The 21,554-nt window shown below is 42.0% G+C and overlaps 1 protein-coding gene across 30 annotated transcripts in view; it reads right to left on the bottom strand.

Moving 5' to 3' along the window:
- ITSN1 (intersectin 1) overlaps window positions 1-21,554 on the bottom strand; it is a 257,361-nt gene that overhangs the window by 73,247 nt on the left and 162,560 nt on the right. For 15 of the 30 annotated variants that reach the window (XM_017028428.2, NM_003024.3, XM_017028431.3 and 12 more), the window contains 5 exons: window positions 15,393-15,640; window positions 12,543-12,702; window positions 8,143-8,348; window positions 7,292-7,374; window positions 2,962-3,128 (listed from right to left, as the gene is read on the bottom strand). In XM_017028428.2, the coding sequence (XP_016883917.1) occupies window positions 2,962-3,128; window positions 7,292-7,374; window positions 8,143-8,348; window positions 12,543-12,702; window positions 15,393-15,640 (864 nt within the window). Of the gene's footprint in view, window positions 1-2,961; window positions 3,129-7,291; window positions 7,375-8,142; window positions 8,349-8,878; window positions 9,385-12,542; window positions 12,703-15,392; window positions 15,641-21,554 lie in introns of those variants that run through there. The other 15 variants (XM_017028433.3, XM_017028434.3, XM_017028435.3 and 12 more) reach the window with 2 other exon arrangements.

The following is a 21,554-nucleotide window of genomic DNA, read 5'->3' as shown; positions in this document are numbered from 1 at the left end:
TTCTATAAGAGAAAAAAACAGCAGAGTATGGCGCCTGTAAGAGCCCAGAGGGCTCCAAGCACAGGCACTTCTCGGACCTGGTCAAATCTAAGAGGAGGTTCCAGGCTAGGAAGACTGTTAGTTTACATCCTAAACACTAAGCTCGGACTTATTTTCACATGGCTAATTATGAAATATTTCACACATAAAAAGTACAGGGAATATAACTCACGAGCCTACTACCCGGTTTTAACACATTAAAATATTAATATTTTGCACATTTGCTTCAGGAGCTTTCTTTTTTAAAAAACTAACAGGGACAACTGGAACCTCTCTTCCCCCATCCTATTCACCCCTCTCTATCCAAAGAGGCAGTGGCTGTCCTGTGTGGCCTTTCCACCCAATTTCACAGAGTTTATACATTGAAATTTCTCTATCAATGCATAGAGGCAGAGCATATTTCTTCCCAACTATCAAGTGTTTAAAAAGTGCTCTGGGGTTGAATTCCTCTCTGGGATACTCATGGAATTTTAAACCAGCCAAGTAAGCCAACAACAGAGACCACGAGAGGCAGGACAGGAGCCAGAACGGAATCTGTTGTTACAAAGTACTTTATTCTAAATTAATTTATGCTTGAGTCTATCTTGCAGTAAATTAAGCATTCCAATTAAAACAAAACAAAAGGCTTAATAAACAAAACATGAGTTACTGAAAGAATAAAAATATGCCATTTATCTACCAGGAACACAACTTACAGTCTCTTTATTTTGCTTATTGAAATTTAAGAAACATTTACCAGGAAAAGTTCGGGTTAAATTTTTACTCTGATTCTGCTTTATTAACGAACAAAGTTATACAAAAGCAATCTCTCACTATTTTTCAATAGGCTGCATATCAAAAAAAGGAATACCAATGAAACAAGACTCCAGTGACCAGTTAACTTTCCTAGTACAGGCTTAGAATCTACTCCCTATACTCCATAAAAAGAACAAGGCAATTGGCAGTACCCTAGAGTTCAAGTAGTTTCAATGTGCTCCCTTTGAAAAACCACAGCCAGCCCCATAAGCTGAGATGGATTCAGAAGGCCATGTTCTGTCCTCCCTGCACCTATAAAGTCCCCCAGACTGTGCCCCAGACCTGCCCATACAGAGAAGGGAAGCAGGATGGGACGACTCTCCCCATGCCCAGACGTCAGTTCTGGTATCTGAAGCTGGGTCTGGTGTTAGGTTGGGTCGGATATTTTGCTTTTACACTGAATTCTGTATTCAAGTAGGACGAAAGAGCTGAGTTTTCAGGTTTTTTTTTCATTATTATTGAATAGTATAGCTAGATGTATATCTAAAAATTTCTAGTACTGCTAGTTCTTCTGTGGCTAATAATTTAAGACTGTGGTTAAGAAAGTACCTTACAACTCCACTTACCTTAAAAAAAAAAGTCACTGTGTGTTTTCCTAAAATTTATTTCGGATGGTTTTATTAAAGTAGAAAACTGTAACTTATTAAAATACATTACAAGTAATGGCTTTCGTATTTTAACTGATCCAAAAGGTAAAGTCACTTTAAGAGTTTTCATGCACGGTAGTAGAAATTGAGTTTGGCTTTTAGTGTTTTACCCAATTCCCCTGAAATATCATCTGTATGACTCTCATTGGACTCGACTTGCTGGCCTGGAGAAGAATTGAATTCTCTGTTTCCAGGTCTGAAAAGTCCAATATGCCAGCTGTCTCGCAGGGCAAAATTACTTTCTTCCGGGCTTCTGCCAGATTCTCCAAGGGTGGGCAGACTTATGTAAATCCATCCATGGGAATTCCACTTAGCTGCTCTCAAGACCGCAGCAAGAAAAACCAAAAAGCAAAACAATGCCACCCCTTAAAAAAACAAAACCCAAGCAAATAAAATCATTTCTGGGAGCTGCAGGAGAGGTGAGCAGGCCAAGGGCAGGACTCCTAGAGCAGGGCACCAGGCCCAGCCTCGCTCCCAGAGCAGCTCCGAGTACACGGAGCCGCACATGTAAGAGCCCAGTATACACTCTACTACTGGCATTTGAAAGAGAGAGAGAACTTTGTCCACTTGCTCACTCCTGAGAAAGCGGCCCCTACAGGCTCCCTGCCAGCCTTTTCTCTCTCAGTACCTAGGAGGTATGAGGAGAAAAAGAAAATAACTGTGAATTGACTGTCAACACTTAAAAAAAAAAGGAGTTAATTCTTGTTGGTTTTTTTAAATGTGCATTGGATCTGTTAAATGACTCCATTTATACCCTGAAACTCTCCACTAACGTGCAAGTGGCTCCTACAAGACTGACTCCCATGCTCTGTGGTAGGTCCACCCCACCATTCCATTCAACTTGCACTATCTTAAGACCACAGTTTATGTGATCAAATTTTTAGGGCTCTATTTAACAACAGTGAGAGCACTTCCAATTCATACGGATAACAGCACTTAAATTCAGTCCTGATCAACGGAGATTCTAAGGCCTAGCCAAAAGTGTACCCATCCCTTAGATCTTGTGTCTTTCTACTGTGTGGGCAAAACCAGAAATTCTAAAAACTTTCTAATAATATCCAATATTCTGGGGCGATTATCACCAGAATACTTCTGTTTATACAGGCAAAATATTGCTACCATTCTTGGGCATTTAAAAATCAATGACCATAATGATCTAATCAAGAAAGTTTACTCCAAAGCGTAAGTCAGTTACAGGCAGGAAGAGAGCTTAATACTGAACATTATCCTCCCAGCTGATGCGGACCAGCCCCATCACACTCAGCCTCCACTTAGCCCTGATGGCATTCTGCTTGGGGGAAGCCAGTGCTTACTGCGCAGTGCCAAATGACAAGATCAAACAATGACAGGTCACACTGGATTTACTGTCACATTCCAGAACTTAGCAAAACCCAACAAAGTTCCGCTGTCAAACATCGTGACTCCCCACAAAGAGAATCACCGCACAGAAAGGGAGAGGAAACAGTTAATGTGGGTTTACCTCTGAATCTTTAAGCCTCACATAGTTAGAAGGGAAGACTCCGGCCTTGTCGCCCACTGTTCCTGTCCACCAGTCACCATCTTTCTTGGTAACCAAAATCACATCCCCTTGCTGAAAGGTTAAATCTCCTTGCTCAGAACTCTCGTAAGTGTACATGGCAATAAATTCTGGTGGGGAGAAATATTGAGATACGGAGAGAGCTTGATTGTTTAAAGAAATCCCAGACAGCTTTGCAAAAGCAAGTTTACGAATAAGGAAGTTAGGACAAGATCCATTCAAGAGAAAGGCTAGTCACAGATAAAATACAGAGCTGCAGAATGCCCTGGGCTCCACATTCCCCCAGTGCACATAAAAGTTCAGTAGCTGCAGACAGGGAGACAATTCCTGGGAAGACCCAGACACAGGAATAAAAAACCCAACTGCATGTTTACCGACACTTGAGTATTTAAGAGTGATCTACCATTTAGCATCATGATTTCTTTTTGAATGAAAATGGTTTTTACATTTATTTTTAACTAAGAGTTACACAATACCTACTCTGTGCTGAGCACTGGGTCAGATGCATTCATATGCAGGCTCTTGGTAAGCATATTAAATATGTGTATTTCAGTTTTGAGGGTACTACGTCACAGGTTTTTAAAAAATTGTTAGATAGCATATATCCTTCGCATAAATTAAATAAGACATACTTTTCCTTATTGAAGTGCCTGAAAACTTATGTCCTATTGTGCCATATACACAATATGATAGGAAGCTGTTAGAACACAAAATGAGTTACACATATTGTTTAGTTAAAAATGGGCATCTAGTTGTCATTCAAGAGCACAAACAGGTAGAGAGGACTGATGATAAAAGGAATGTCTAACCCAATCCCAGAAAGCCTTTCAACAAGTTAAAAAGACAAATCACAGTTTATCACATTTTATTATTCATGTAATTTAGTCTTAAAGGATAAGAACTAATGTTCCTTTGTGTCTTGAATTTGAAGGGTGTGCATTACAGAAGAAACTTTCCTTTTTAATTAGATGTAGAACTTTGCATCACTCTTGGTGGATTTTATTAAGGCTTAGAACCAAATCACACTCTCAGAAAGATCACCAGACACAAAATCCTGGATGGAGGTTCTAGGTACAGGATAAAAGATTTACAGAAAGATGCACAGGTTTCTTATTTCCCCTTTTTCTCCATTTTATCCTAGGCTTTTGTATGTATTTTTTTAAAGCAACAGAAAAATCACCATTTACCCAAAAAGTTCATTTTTATGATGGACAATGTATGTTTCTCTCTAAACCTCAGATGATGTTCCTTTAATGTCGAGCCTCGTGTTGAGTAAGAGGTAGGAATTTTTTATGGAGAACTCCTTCGGTTGATTATCAGAGCCTCTGCAGGAGGTACTAATGAAAACTAAAACAAACAGACAAAAACACAAAAACCTCTAACTCTTGTGCTCACGTGGGCAGCCCCTGGAGCAACAAGGGCCTCCTTCAGCGCCAGTGTTGACCTGTCAGCGCCGAGGCCAGCAGCAATTGCTGGTGGAGAGCACTGGGCCCCATGGCAGACACAGGTCATTCAAACGTCCCAGGGAAAACAGAAGACTCTCTGTCTTTAGCCCTGAGGCGCTGGTAACACATACCTCCACAGTGAAAATTGGAAAAATGATTTCCCACACAAGGAAATCAAAGTTTGGTGGCTTTAATAGGGTCATTCTTTCTTCATTAACAGACTCATTTTTCTGACTTCTCCATACTCTCACCCTTCCCTTTTCATTTTGCTCCCTGTTACTGTTCTTTAGATCATATTTGGCCATTTAAGACAGGATCCTTGGCCATCAATACTTTCCCCAGTGATTCCTCAACTTCAAAGTTACTTTCTTTAAAATTGATCCAAATTTTGAAGTAACTTTCCAAATGCTTAAGAAACTTCAGAAACATGAACTCTGGCTGAACTTGGTATTGCAGTATAAAATATAAAGGAGACTGGGAAGACTGAGGCTGGCCTTGCCCTGCCTGCCTTGCACAAAGACATCTGAGAGTGGCTTTAGGGTGACAATGAAACCCAGAGACATGATGATGGATAGGCAGAGGTTCCTCTTTAGCTACCCCTTCTCAGGAAACATTCCACAGAGGGCACTGGCCATCCCCAAGCCAATATTTTAAATATTTTAAAAGCAACCCAAGCCAATCATCTATTTTATCTGGTTTACAGTTTACTTTAAATTTGATTATGTTCAATGTGGTATTTACAAAAGGCTCATTAATATATGTAAATAGCTTTTCTCAGAATTTCTAATGTCCTCCCACCCCTTCACAAAGCCAGCAACCTTTCCAAATATTTCTAATAACTAAGTCATTTCAAAATTGGCTGTAATAAATACAAACTAAGATCAGAATTTAACTCTATTATGTTGCCCAATTTTAAGTACATGCATGGTTCACTTGTGACCTATTTATTGAGTCCTCAGTACATGTCTCAAAACAAACAAACACTCCTCCATACTGCTATTGGATGAGGATGCTCATACTTTATGTGGCTTTATCACTAATCCAGGGAATGAAGCAAAAACGACATAAAAGTAGCAGACATTTACTGAGCTTTGTTCTAAAAGCCTTCTGCATGTTATCTCATTATCCTTGTAATAATTTCCTACCTCAAGGGGTAGTTATCACGGCCAATTTACAGACAAAGAAGCTAAGGCATAAACAAAATAATACTGTTACTAGATGGGTGAGTCAAGATACAAACTCCAGCCCTCCAGTGAGCCTTGATTGGATGTAACACACCAAAGTTTTTTTCTTTATCTTTTGGTGAGGTGCATAAGTTGCTTTTTACTAAACTGACTGCATGTGGTATTTAAAGGAGCTTTTTGCCTTGTTACCCTAACAGTGGATAAAAAGTCATTAAGATAATGAGAATGTATAAAGGGAACTCTGTTAATCATTTTCATGGTAATAGCAAAAATTAGATGCTGGATTTGTTTAGTGATAAGGTTTTATAGCTATACTATGAACTAAAAAAAATTCTTACTTTAAAAAACCTCTTGAAAAAAGAACATTGTTACTGTGAGTCTGAAATACCATTATACCTTAATCCTTGCTGTCTCCACCTAAAACAGCTGTTTTAATAATTCTGTTTTTCACTGGGCAAGGTTTCTAAGGAATGTTAACAATCTCATTATGGCAGACAAACTAAATAAAACATTCTATTCTCCTGTAATGTATTCAAGGAACCCATAAAGAATTACTATAGAATTGGTTAGTTATGGCATCTGTTAACTACAACACTGCTCAGATGTCTACACAGAAAACCCATCTAACTCAGGGAGCACTCTCCAGTTAGGATGTGATGATGGCTGTATTGAATGTAAAAAAGATGTGAGATTTTTACCATGAGGGCCTGAATTACCTAAGTTTTATTCAGTTGGCATCCATACAATATTTAGGATTATGTCACCAAGTGGAGATTGAGAAAGAAGGCAATTATTTGCATAATAAATACTCAAAATGATTTTTTTTTTTTTAGTCCTAAATTGTCTGGTTTGATTGTTTTCATGGAGCACAGAAATTGAGTTTCAGTTTCATTTGGGATGGTACAGATGGCATTCATGTTACTATGAGAACTCTAGTGGTCTGTGTAGTTACTTTTATTTTATTTTATTTTATTTTTTTGAGACGGAGTCTCGCTCTGTCGCCCAGGCCGGACTGCGGACTGCAGTGGCGCAATCTCGGCTCACTGCAAGCTCCGCTTCCCGGGTTCACGCCATTCTCCTGCCTCAGCCTCCCGAGTAGCTGGGACTACAGGCGCCCGCCACCGCGCCCGGCTAATTTTTTGTATTTTTAGTAGAGACGGGGTTTCACCTTGTTAGCCAGGATGGTCTCGATCTCCTGACCTCATGATCCACCCGCCTCGGCCTCCCAAAGTGCTGGGATTACAGGCGTGAGCCACCGCGCCCGGCCTGTAGTTACTTTTAAAACGAAATACTTATCTATGAAGTCAGATGAGACTAGACTATGTTAGGTGAAGCAATGACCATAGTTTAGCTATAGAGATGCTCGGAAAACTCGATTCTTAGTGAACTGAATGGGTCTCTTTTAAAAGTCAAAGGGCTTATAATAAAATATAATTAGAAAATTCAGTTTTTGATGATTAATATACCTGACAGTATTTTCCATGAAGTACTCCGATTCTGTAAAGAGCTAAACTTACATTTTACTGTAGTTTAATATACTGATCATAAATGCAGTCTATCTTAAGATGAAATTCAATCTCATTTCAAACATTTACACAATGTCCTTGACCCTTCTGAAGAACATAATACAACTCAGGCCCTCACCTTCTCCCGAAACGACCGGCTTGGCTGCTGGAGAGGCTACTCGCTTTAGACTAGCAGGACTCTCTGAAGAACCAGAATCCATGCTGCAATAATGGAAGAAGAGAGTATTTTAATTTTTATCTTCAAAGAAAATCGTACAATGACACTGATTTTTCTGTTAAAACTGCTTAACTTTTAAAACTTTAAACGACCCACAGCTGAAATAGTTGTACTTAGCTAGGTTAAAAACACATAATAAGGTACTACAGAGGCATGACTCTAAGCTCGCATTCTTATTTTTCAGCACTTTGCTATACTGGACACATGGCTTATGTACTAGTTTATTTCAAGGCATGACTGACTGAGAGATGCTCATTGAATATTTTTGCTATTTTCATCCTTTTAAAGCTCATAATTTGTTTTGAACATCAATATGGTTGGAGGAATTAACAACCTTAGGTTCCATGCTATAAGACCCTAATGAAAAAGACAATTAAGTCCTTCTGATCATTTCCCCAGATCCTTTGGGTTTCCAAGTATTCACATATATCTGGTACAGCACTGGGTAATAAGCATAAAGAGAGTCATAATCTCCAACTAATGCACAAGAGTGTTCCAGGTCTCAGAGCTGAATTCCTTCTTGCATAAGGCAATGAAAAACAAGGCACATAGGTTTTCATGAGAGAAGAAAGAATGCACTTATCTATAAGAGGCTCCCTTTTGGTACTCTATATACTATAACTTTTGCAGTTAAAAGATCTAGAAGACAAACTAATCCCGCAACTCCTGTCTGTGAATCTTAACTAGTGCAAACAGTAATATAACGCCTAATATTGTTTTCATCAAATACAAGCAGATAAATACAAAAATACCTTGTAGACTTCCTTATGGGCCCTGAAATGAGTTTCACGTAAGACTTGGGGAACCAACCCTTCTGACCTTGAACTTCTCCAAACCACCACATGTCTTGCTGTTCCAGGACGGTGATGACATCATTTTTGTTAAAATTTAAGTGGTTGTCTTTTTTGGCTCTCCAAGGATATAGGGCTTGAGCTTGTAGCCCCTCCACCTTTTCACCCTTGTGTGGAATAACATAAAGGACCTCTCGTTATGTTGCGCTTTGTTATCAATTAGGGCAGACGTGAGCATGGCACCTCTCCAACAAGCACAGGCCAGACAAGCACACACAGCCACAAAGGGCCCTGAGGCAGCACAGCAGGAGGGCTGGATGCTTCACTGTTTCCCAACAATTGTTTATTTCCAAAAGTGGAGGCCAAAGCCTTCCAGCCTCTTCACAAAGTCATTGTCTGACCATCTAGAACTCTCTATTTCAAAAAGCCAGGAGGTCACAATTATTCTGTTGCATCTGGCTGTGTGCCCTTTATATTTTGGTTCTATTTTCACTCTCAAGTTGCCCGGGACACCTCCCCATTTCCAATTTGACTGGCATTTTTAGTGGAGGATTAACAGTGGAGCAGACATTTTATGAACTATCATGAGATCATTAACTGGCATTTTAGATTAGGTAGACCCAGGGAAATAGGCCCTATCTGGATTATGCTTGTTTTAGTTCCTTTTCAGAGAAAACAGGGATTTGGTTAGCATAAATTCATTGTAATTACCATTTATTGTACATCTACATGCACTGCCCCATGAGATTACAGATGAAAAAAACAGTCTCTGCCTCCCCCAGATAATTTAGGGAAAAGCACTTTATTAACCACAAAGCACTATAAAGATGGGCAGTATTACTAGCAGGTAATTCACAAGTAATGGGGAAGACAGAGATAAAAACAACCAAGTGTACCACCTGGCAGAATGAAATATACTAAAAAGGAGTTCCTACTATTCACTGCAGGAATAAAGAGAAAACAGGGATGAATTCTGCCTGGGGGCATCAGCGTAAATTTCACAGAGGGGGCAGCATCTGAGATGGGCCTTGAAGGATGAGAAGGACTTTGACAGCTAGGGCTTCGGAGGAAGGGCACTCCAGGCCGAGGGCGCAGCATGGGCAAAAGCCTCGAGGTGGAACACTGCAGGGGGTCCGGGAAGAGAAGCACAATCCGGGGCTGCATGTGGCCTAGTCTCATGGAGGGGTGGAGGAGGAAGTCAGGCTGGAAAGGCAGGGTGAGGCATTTATTATCTTTTAAGCTATAGCATTAAACCATTACAGTATCTTAAAGCATTTAGTAAAAAATGAAACACCAACTTTCAATCATATATATGAATGGACAAGAACAAAAGATAATGCCTAGAGAGAGTTACTTCAGAACCAATTTGTACATGCCTTTAGAAGTCATTTATATTATACTGACATTAAGTTATGATTATGTCTGATGAGCAGAGAATTTACAACAGGTCAAATAGTTTCAGCATCTATGTTGATAACCTCTAATTCCTGGTCTTCATGGGTTCTTGCCTTCTTAAACCCACAACATCCCTATCCTATTTCCTTCCACTTAGCTGTACATTCACTCCTTCAAGTCCCTCAGAGCTGAGGGGGTTTCCCTGGATTTCGAACACCCCTAAGATTGTATATTCTCGACCTTCCATTTTCCCCCTCTTGCAGTGGACCTGCTGCCCGCGTAGCTCCTCATCCCACAGCCCTTCTGCACTGTCTAATCCTCTCCGCCACTTCACTGATTTCTCTACGTATGGACCCCAGGGTTGGCCTTTCAACTGTGCCCTCACTGGTATTTCAGAATCTCTCCCCCTGAGAAATCTTCCCCGTGTCTGCTTTGTCAACCTTTTCACATTGATGGGCCCTAATGACCCCAGCCTGGGCTGGATGTGGACTCTGGGTTTGAATCCCAGGTCTGTCACTTACTAATTTTCTGGCTTTGGCAACTGTTTAATCTCTCTGAATCTCGATTTCCACATCTGTAAAGTAGAGATGATACTTTCTCCAAAAGGCTATTAAAGTTTAGCAATCCCATGGTAATGCAAGATGTGTGTAGGTGGGGAGGGGGAAGGAAGTTTAGTAAGATCCATGCACAGTATTGCTATGATAGAAATAACAGTGGTGAGCTATATAACTATTATTATTCCTAGTCCCAAGCTGTGAAGCATTGCTAGAGAAAGCTGAGGCAATGTGCAATGATCTATTACGGACTCAGGTTAAATTAAGCCAGGCAATTCTTTTTTTTTTTTTGAGAACTCAGTCTTGCTCTGTCGCCCAGGCTGAAGTGCAGTGGTGTGATCTCAGCTCACCACAACCTCCACTTCCCAGGTTCAAGTGATACTCCTGCCTCAGCCTCCCAAGTAGCTGGGATTACAGGCGCCCACCGTCATGCCTGGCTGATTTTTGTATTTATTTATTTTTTTTAGTAGAGATGAGGTTTCACCACGTTGGCCAGGCTGGACACGAACTCCTGATTTCAGGTGACCTGCCTGCCTCCCAAAGTGCTGCGATAACAGGCATGAGCCACCGCGCCGGCCCAATTCTTCATTCTTCTTTGTCGGATCCCTCATTCGCCTGCTCCCAAACCTCTTCTACACTCCGCAGCCCCTCCAGGCTCCCTCCTCACTGAGAACAATATCATGCAGCCCAACTTGAACATTTTTCTTGGCTTTATCTTCTCCAATCTCTTCACTCTTCCTCATCCAGAAGAAAAAGACTCCTGTCTTTTCTGTGCTTTTAATGTTTTCTGCCTTATACCAACTATATCCTCTGACACTTCACTTTTCCATTCCCATCTCCACTGGCAACATGGCTGGTTCTTGCTTTCCCGAGGCCCCTCACTCTGGTCCTTCTCTTTCCTTTTGCAGATCTTTCCACTTTCTTGCTGCTCATTTCCTTTTACGCCCCTGCAGTGTGGTTTCATCCTTCTCCTTCCCAGGTTACAAAGCTCTACCTGTCACAATGAATGGTCTCTTCTTTGCCCTGACCACGGTACTTAGTAACATAAGCAACCTCCCATCCCCCACCTCCACTCTCTGGAACAAACCCCCACCCCATCACTGAGTTACTGTTAACTGAGCATGTGACACGTGCTAAATGCTGAGCTAGGACAGATGCAAAGGAAAGTACCATTTCCTGCTGAGTAGCTCCTCTTCTTCTTCCAGACCACAGAACACACACGTGCCTGTGGATTTGCTATTTTCTCCCTGTATTCCCTCTCCTTGGATGACCTCACACATTTCCTGATATCCGATAATGTTCTCTATGGGAATGGCTCCAATCTATAATCCCAGTCTCGTGCTCTCTTCCATCCTCCAGATCTATATTCCGACAGCCTGCCAGACAGGGTCCCACGTTCACCTTCAACTCAACACAACTAAAACACAACTCTTCCCTTTAACTGCGCATTCATTTCATTTTCTGCCTTTCTCCCTTCCCGCTTTAAGGTGGGCCCTTATTCTCAATCCCAGCCCTCTTTCCTTTCCTTCGGCTCCCATAGGCATTGTGACTCCAACCTCTTCACTCTCCTCTGCAGTCTCTCCCACGTGCTCGCCTCTTCTGCTTCCACCGGCACCTCCCTACTTGGTGAACATGAACTCAGCTGGGTCCAGGCCTGCCCTAGGTCTCAGCTGGGTGACACCAACAGCCCCCTGACTGGTGGCACCGCCCTGCCGGCCCTCCACTCTAATCTTCCTGCACACCGCTCCTCCAGATGGATCTGCCTAGACCCTGTGTTCCATCTGGGTGTTCTCAGATCAGAAATGATGCTGGAACCTCCAGTGCCTCCCAGATGGGCACTTGCTGTTTGGCATGATTATTGATAGAAATTTGAGTATTTTATCATTATTGTATTAAGCAAAAGAGAACTATTCAGAATAACCACCTTTATCCTTTCAGACATTATTCTTTCCGAGCAGGGCATTTCAGAGCCTCCCATTAACCTTTAATTGGTCTACCTTTTCCAAAAAAAACTCAATGGTCTAGACAAATGGAGGGGTATGTGATTTTCCTTAAATACATTCTGACTGTCTGCCTTCGAGCCTTCCCAGCAGTTTCTGTCTGACAGGCAGGCTCTCTCCATTTTCTAGTAAGATCTTACCCACTGGTCAAGATGCAGCTCAAGTGCCACTTCTGCAATGAAGCTTCCTTCATCAACCCAGGCAGGAGAAGTTGACTGTGTCCCACCCCCACCCCCAACTCCCAACTATTCACAGCAGATTTCTGGCTCCTGCACTGGATTCCCATACTGCCAGCCAACCAAGACACACATAACAAGGCTTGCTTCAAAATGACATTGCCAAAAAGCATTTGCTGAAGTTTTTGGCACTAGATAGCATGCTAAGTCTTCACACTCTCACTGGCTGCCTTTACCTGGCCTAGCACAGGAGACGGGGAGGAGCCAGTGGCCGTGGCTGGAGTAAAGGCGGACCTCTGCCTTAACTGGCCGGCACTTGGAACGGTGAGAGAGGGCTGGGCTGCCCATGCATCCCAGTTATCCGTTTCTGGTTTCTCATTCGTGCTGGTGGGCCACCTGGAGGGAAAAGCACAACACCATGAATAACAAGCACTCCCTAATATACCAGCTTTTTACCCACAGTAAAGTACCAAAAAAAAAAAAAAGCAAGCACTCCCTAATATGCCAGCTTTTTACCCACAGTAAAGTACCAAAAAAATAAATAAATAAATAAAAGAGGAAAAAAAGAAAAAAGAAAAAGATGGCAACCAATGAGCCTGTGCAACACAAACCTAGTATACTTAATGTGGCTTTCTACAGTGAAAGAACAAGGAGGAGGCTGGGCACAGTGGCTCATGCCTGTAATCCCAGCACTGTGGGAGGCCGAGGTGGCTGGATAACCTGAGGTCAAGAGTTCGAGACCAGTCTGACCAACATGGTGAAACCCCATCTCTACTAAAAATACAAAAATTAGCTGGGTGTGGTGGCGCACCCCTGTAATCCAAGCTACTAAGGAGGCTGAGGAAGGAGAAATGCTTCAACCTCGGAGGCAGAGGTTGCAGTGAGCCAGGATCGCATCACTGTACTCTGGACTGGATGACAGAGTGAGACTCTGTCTCAAAAAGAAAAAAAAAAAAGTTAGCTGGGTGTGGTGGCATTGAGTCTGTAATCCCAGCTACTTGGGAGGCTGAGACACAAGAATTGCTTGAACCTGGGAGGTGGAAGTTGCAGTGAGCTGCTGAGATCACGCCACTGCACTCCAGCCTGGGTGACAGAGCAAGACTCTGTCTCAAAAAGAAAAATAAATAAAAGAACAAGGAGGAGAGGAAAAGGCATTTGATTTCCTCATTGATAAAATGGGAACAATACTGTGCCACTTAAGGTTAGTTGTGAGGGTACATGAAATACAGGCTAGGGAAATACTCTGTAACTGCAAAGCCCCGGAGAAACATCCTCACATGATCATTATCATTTGTAATAACAATAGTTAAATGAGAAAAAAAAAAGCTACATGCCACCTATGGAGCTGGAGCTTCTCAACACCATTTCTCAGACCCATGCACTCTACAGCAAGTACCTGGTAGTATGCCTAGATGCCACAGCAATTACAAGTGGCATCCTGACAGCAACCAGTTGTCCTGGGTCCCAGGGACAGTTCTAGTTTTGTGATTTTAATAATTTTAGATAAACAGGCTGGGCATGGTGGCTGATACCTCTAATCCCAGCGCTTTGGGAGGCCAAGGCAGGAGGATCACTTGAGTTCGGGAGTTCAAGATCAGCCTGGGCAACATAGTGAGACCTCATCTCTACAAAAAACTTAAAAATTAGCTGGGCATGGTGGCATGCACCTGTAGGCCCAGCTACTTAGGAGGCTGAGGCAGGAGTATTGCTTGAGCCCAGGAGGTCAAGGGTGCTGTGAGCCATGGTCATGCCACTGCACTCCAGCCTGGGTGATGAAGTGAGACCCTGTCTCAAAATAATAATAAATAATAAAAAATAATTTTAGATAAACATGTCTGTGTGACTGCAGATCTAAAGGCAATTTACTTTTTACATCCTTATAAGATATACAAACAAATCTGAAAATCAAAATAATTCCTGATTTTTCATTTGGAAAATAAGGTGCCCATAATTATAGCAAGAGAACTGCACACCATACATATATTGAAGAAGAGGCATACTGATTTGATCCCCAGCAAAACAAATCCTGGAAAATATGGTATTAGTCTTCTATTTTAGCCTAAGCTTTAGTTTAAAAACTCAGAACTTTTCAGTCAAGACCAAAAGAGTAAGGAAAAGTTTCAACTTGGAAGTCAAGCTAATGGAAGGCTTTTTTTTCTTAAAGCAGAGATTAGATGAGGGGACCTTCTTTAGCGCCTTCAGCCTTTTATGTGAAAATAAAGTATGAAAAACTTGCTATTCCTTACATCCTTCCCTCCACTTCCTCCCGCCCTGAGTAATTATTCTTTCTTCCCTCTATTTGTTCCATCTGATCCTTCTCCAGCAATACATCTGGATTCCTTGCCTTCAATTTGTTTCTTCTGAAAGATGATTAGACTTGAAAAAAAATTTAAACACTTCTTATTCAAATCACTCATACTTGTATCCTAGTATAAAATATTTTTAGACAATTGCTCATCTAGGTCATGGCCCTATAACTGGAAGTCTGAACAACCATTTCATCTATCATTTCAAACCTCTGCTTACACACAGTTTTTAAAATGCCATTTCCTGATGAACCAGGGCACAGAACTAACTGGCCAAGTGCAAACACCTCTTCATTCTACTGTACATTTGTATAAGATTAATGAAAGTGGAAAGCTTTAAAGGAAACAGCTTTCTATCTTATTCAGAACCACATGACTGAATTCAATTTTTGCTTCTGCCTGGCAAAAAAAAGTGCTATTTGCATGCAGGAAATAACTCTGAAAATTTGCTGACTGACATGGATGTCAAAATAGATTATTAGGAAACTGTATTTCTCCACTTCTTCCACAAGAATGATAGATACAAATACATTATTGAACAAAACAAGATAACAGGCTTCATTTTGTACCATGGTAAGTCACTGTTAGACAATGATATCATTAAATCCAGTTCAGGGACTGTAATCTCCAATTCGCCAGCTAGAGAAAGGAGTACTGAAAATGAGCCAGCTCCCTCACATAGAAGGACAATCCAAGACTATGAAAATACTTAAGGGGGTGGGGGGGAAATGATCAAATTGGGATTTCAAAAATCATCAGAAAGAGCCCACCAACACGTACGTGGAGCTGAAGTCGGCCCAGTTATTAGGGGTCGTGGAGGGCTCTGAAGAGGTTACTGCCAAAGGGGCGGGGGTCTCACGCAAGGCCAGTTTGGGGGCAGGGGCAGATGTTGAATCAGTCACTGGTTTCACTGGAGCGGGAACCTCATTTTCTGGGATTTTCTCTGCATAGTTTGCAGGGAACCACCCTGTCTTTCCTTTTAATTCTCCTCCAAGCCAGCCGGGTTCTCCAGTTTGGCTTTCATCCACCTGTGGAAAAAGTCACAGCTTTAAGTAGAACTAAATTAACCCCTGAATAGACCCAGCACCCAACTACAGTGAAGTCCCAAGCCTCTGCCCTCTTTAGATTGACATATGGCATAGGAATCTCTTCATCTTAGTCCAAGTGTCTGGGAAAAGAGTCTAAGCAGTAATGCTGAAAAAAAAAATGCACTATAATTCAAGCTCTTATTCTCTGCACTTTTTAAAAAAGCCTTACCCCATAACTGTCCTAATAATGGCAGTTGAGACAAAGTGCCTGGAGTCCTGAGGCATGTAATTTAAATATTTTGATTTGGGAAGTGACTTAACAGGCTTCATCAGAAAGTCATGTCATTATTAAAAATAATTTGACTTGAGTTTATTACTTAAAGTTGAAAGCAAAGGGTGCAATCAATATAAATTCAGTACTCTGAAAACCTCCAATAACTAAGTAGTATTTATTCAGTATAAGGACAAGGAAGATTTAAAAAAAAAAACCATGGCCTTAAATGGTTTCCACGAGAAGCAAAGCTGACTGCTGCTGTGTTTAGGCATTTAAAAGCTCCACAGACACATGATGAGAAAATTAAGGAAGTCATTATTTACAGCAATAATCAATTGTATTAAGGTCCTGTAGTTTTCTTTTGTATAAATTTAACTTGCATATTCAGTGCACAGGAAAATCCAGGATTATACTGTTTAAAAATTTCACAGAGGCCATTTATTACGCCAAATGCTTTTAAGGTTTGCATTTTAATTCTGACTCAAATGGATCATCCAAAATGGCCAAAACGATTCTACTTTTCTTTACGAGTTGTCCCTACTATTTTATGAGCAACAGGAGAATGACTTTGGAGGACAATCACATTTGCTATTGGGAAATTTATTTTTGGGCTGGGCACGGTGGCTCATGCCTGTAATCCCAGCACTTTGGGAGGCTGAGGCGGGGGATTACCAGAGGTCGGAAGTTTGAGACCAGCCTGACCAACACAGTGAAACCTCGTCTCTACTACAAATACAAAACTAGCCAGGCATGGTGGCGCATGCCTGTAATCCCAGCTACTCGGGAGGCTGAGGCAGAAGAATCGCTTGAACCCAGGAGACGGAGGTTGCAGTGAGCTGAGATGATGCCATTGCACTCCAGCCTGGGCAACAGGAGTGAAACTCCGTCTCAAAAAAAAAATTTTATTTTCATTACTATAATTCTTATAAGGGTCTTATCTTATGAAACCTTATATCTTATTTTTACCCCTTCCTATGCTGCCTAAGGAGTAAAACATCAAACACTTCACTGGAAATTAAAGTTGCTTCTTAGAAATCAGACATGAGTAGGCAGGGTCTTAACAATGATTTTGGAAAAATCTGACAAAAATACCAGTTATCTAATCCATTCAAGTATTCAGTAAAAATTAATTAAAAATAAAGCAAAAAATGATTACATTAAACAAACCAAACATCTATCTGTATGTACTCAGTGGACAGTGAGTAATAGGGTTCAATACTTATTAGCTTATTTGAATTAACAAATGTTTGGGGTAGAGGTGGAGAAAACAGAATGCAAGGCAAGGCTTACTTCTGATTTCTACCTGTTATTTACAATATATTCAGCAAGTAGGGGATGCCTGCTTGCTGCTCCACTTTAGGGAATCTTTATTGTCACAGATAAAAGCAATTTTTAAAGCTGAGAATTCTCCAAACAACCAAAAAAGGAGTTCCCTTGTATAAAATGCAATAACACTTCCAAAGGTTGAATTTTTGGCTTCACAGTTCTATCATTTCTGCTCACACTTACACCCACATGAACACACTAGCCACTTTGCAGTCATTGTTTTGTTCTTACTGTTCTTTTTCTGGGCAGCCCCAACTGTTTCTCTAGATGAGGATTTAAGATAAATTTTCCCCCATTTGGATCTTCTTTTATGCTGAACTCAAATGGCTAGATGTCTTTCCTTCCTTGTTTACATTTTGGTGATATGGTGACACATTATAACTTTGCTCCACACTGGAAACATAGCTGTCTCTATCCAAGCCAGGTCCTGCCAGACTTCTCAGTAGGTTCAATAGTCAAGATCAGCCACCTTGGTTCTAGGACCAAAGGTGATGTCAGGCAGGAGTGGGTTAGGAGCTTGAGCCAAACACACAATAACTTAGTGTCAAGACTGCAAAGTGTAATGATCAAGAATAGGGCTCTGCAGTTAGACCGTCTCAATTTAGGAGCTAGTTCTACAATCTATTAACTGGTTGACTTTGGGCAAGTTTAATCTCGTGGCACCTGTTTCTTCATCTGTAAAATGGGGATAATAAAAATACCTGTCTTATTATAATGCTCACTGTGAGGACTGACAAATATTTACACCAATGCCTGGCATACTAAAAGTGTTAGCTTTTTTTTTTTTTTGAGATGGAGTCTCACTCTTGTCACCCAGGCTAGAGTACACTGGCACAATCTCAGCTCACTGCAACCTCTGCCTCCTGGGTTCAAGCAATTCTCCTGCCTCAGCCTCCTGAGTAGCTGGGATTACAGGTGCCCACCACCACGCCTGGCTAATTTCTGTATTTTTAGTAGACATGGGGTTTCACCATATTGGCCAGGCTGGTCTCGAACTCCTGACCTCAGGTGATCTGCCCGCCTAGGCCTCCCAAAGTTCTGGGATTACAGGCGTGAGCCACCGTGCCAGGCCAGATATTTTTTTTAAATTCTCTCTTCTGCTGTCCAGCTCTGATGTTGCGCTGTAGTTCTCCTACTTGGGCTTCTGTCCTATTCTAAAAGCCTGGTCTTTTTTTTTTTTTGAGACGGAGTCTCGCTCTGTCGCCCAGGTGGGACTGCGGACTGCAGTGGCGCAATCTCGGCTCACTGCAAGCTCCGCTTCCCGGGTTCATGCCATTCTCCTGCCTCAGCCTCCCGAGTAGCTGGGACTACAGGCGCCCGCCACCGCGCCCGGCTAATTTTTTTTGTATTTTTAGTAGAGACGGGGTTTCACCTTGTTAGCCAGGATGGTCTCGATCTCCTGACCTCATGATCCACCCGCCTCGGCCTCCCAAAGTGCTGGGATTACAGGCGTGAGCCACCGCGCCCGGCCAAAAGCCTGGTCTTGACTTTACCTTCACTCTAGGTAACAATCTGCTTCTCTGTTCAGGAGTTCCCTGCTCTAACTGCCTGGTCCTCTGCTCCCTCTAGGTTTACCTTCTTGCCATAAGCAATCCTTTAGGGGCTCAAGTGGATCCCTTGATCGACGGGAACTCCTACTCGTCTGCTCATTTTGGACCTCCTCAAAGGTCAGCTGCTTTGCTTAATTATGTCCCATGATCTATTGTTACTCCCTTGAAACACAGGGTATTGACTGGTTAATAAGACTTTTAGGCCAGGTGCAGTGGCTCACTCCTGTAATCCCAGCACTTCTGGAAGCCAAGGTGGATGGAACACTTGAGGTCAGGAGTTTCAGGCTGGTGAAACCCCATCTCTACAAAAAATACAAAAATTAGCCGGGCGTGGTGGCACATGCCTGTAATTCCAGCTACTTGGGAGGCTGAGGCAGGACAACTGCTTGAACCCGGGAGGCGGAGGTTGCAGTGAGCCAAAATCACACCACTGCACTCAGCCTGAGTAACAGAGCGAGACACTGGTGGACATCTGGAATGCGACCTGAAGCCCTGGGGAAATGTCCTCCCCCTCCAGTAAACTGATAACACCCAGCCTGTCCTCAGATGTGATAGAAAGCCTGCTGGTGCAGTGTACACCTAGGAGTGAAGGAGGGGGCCATATCAGCCTCTTATCCCCTTAAGCAAGAGCTTCTCCCATCCCTAAGGATAACAGTGAAATCAGCATTTCACTTTTAAGCAAAGAAATCTGTTGGTCTCAACAGCCCCCCAAACAATAGTCTCAATTAGCTTAATTTACTCTTACAAGTATACATCAATTTTAATAAATTATTACATTTTAAGGTTCAGGGGCTGTAAGAGACTTTCATTCTTAACACCTAAATTAAATTAACCACTTAGAAAGGGCACAAAGGTCAACATATGAAAATGAAAAATATTTCTTCTTGGATTTGGAAAACTACCCAAAATGCCAATCCAATTTTGGAAAACATAAGATTATGGCAGACCAAGAAATAGGAACACAAACTGCTTTGTAATATGACTGGTTCCAACGTGGACTTTTACACAATGTACATTTACCTACTGGGGGCTATAAGGGAGATGTTATTATTAACAATTTTGGTCTCAATACAATTTCATTTATCAGGCACACTGTAACACCCCAACGTATTTGGGGGTAATTCTAGTGAAACATCATTTAAGCGAAGTACAAACACCAGATATTGCTCACATTTCTGGGACTATGTTACAGAGCTGCTCTACTAAATGTTAGTAATTACACACTGCATATTGTAGCTCGCTGATGCAACAGTCAAATATACACAGCAGCCACTTCAGCTTCAAGTCCGTTTGGCAAAGGCCGATGATATTACACCTCTTTTCTCAATTTTTATATGCTCCATGGCTGCCATCTTCATTAGGTAAGATTAATATTTCTAAAATCTCTGACCTTGTCACAAAGGGGGGAAGCAGAAATTCCTTTTTCCCCTCATAGAACATGATAAACAAGTGTAGCAAACAGGTTTAGCCTGTGTATTCAGACCAGCTGACAGTGGCTGCATGGGATGTGTTGAGGAGTGCAGGTAGTAAAACATTTTCCATGGATTTGCCGGTTTTGAAATATAAGGTTTCTCCCCAAATTCCTAGATGAGGATATTAAAAGTCTTTGTTTTTTGGAAGGATTCTCACTCTGTTGCCCAGGCTGGAGTGCAGTGGCGCGATCTCGGCTCACTGCAAGCTCCGCCTCCCGGGTTCATGCCATTCTCCTGCCTCAGCCTCCCGAGTAGCTGGGACTACAGGCGCCCGCCACTATGCCCGGCTAATTTTTTTTTTTTTTGTATTTTTAGTAGAGACGGGGTTTCACCGTGTTAGCCAGGATGGTCTCAATCTCCTGACCTTGTGATCCGCCCACATCGGCCTCCCAAAGTGCTGGGATTACAGGCGTGAGCCACCGCGCCCGGCCTTAAAACTCTTTCTGAGGTCAGGAGATTGAGACCATCCTGGCTAACACGGTGAAACCCCATCTCTACTAAAAATACAAAAAAATTAGCCGGGCGTGGTGGCGGGTGCCTGTAGTCCTAGCTACTCGGGAGGCTGAGGCAGGAGAATGGCGTGAACCCGGGAGGCGGAGCTTGCAGGGAACCGAGATCGCGCCACTGCACTCCAGCCTGGGCGACAGAGAGAGACTCCGTCTCAAAAACAAAAAATAAACAAACAAAAAAACTCTTTCTAAAGCTCCAACCTGGAGGCTGGCAAATTTCACCTCTGTTGCAACTACTCAAATCCGCCACTGTAGCACACAATATGTGAATGAAGGAGCCTGGCTGTGTTCCAATAAAACTTTATTATAAAACAGGCAGTGATTGGGCCAGATTTGAGCCAACCCTGTAATCGTGTATACTGGTCCCTCAAAACTGCAGTGATATTATGGCCAGTTGTTACTAAATGAGATACTTTCTGATGTTTAATCTATGGAAATCTATGGAAGGTAGAGGAAAAAGGTATTGTTGGCTACATTTAAAAAAATGTCTGTCAGGAGAAGAAAAGGAAAAGAATGAGTTAAAAATTGTTATAAGAGTAACACTAAGACAAACAATTTCCAGAATGAACTGACTGGCTAATGACTGATAACTACTAAAGAAGTCCATTCTTCTTTGGATATTTTTAAGAGGATATTTTCTAGAAATGATTTAGGATTAGTCCTGACGTGAAAAAGAGATTAGGTTAGATCAGCGGTTCCTGAAATTGACTACCTAACAGAACCACCTGGTCAGACTTCTGAAGGCTGTATATGCAGTAGAGTTCTCAGAATCTCTGGGGATGA

Source organism: Homo sapiens, chromosome 21, assembly GCF_000001405.40.
Source record: "Homo sapiens chromosome 21, GRCh38.p14 Primary Assembly".
NCBI lineage: Eukaryota > Metazoa > Chordata > Mammalia > Primates > Hominidae > Homo > Homo sapiens.
Note: the sequence above shows the minus strand (reverse complement) of the source record. Positions and strands in the feature narration are given on the sequence as shown.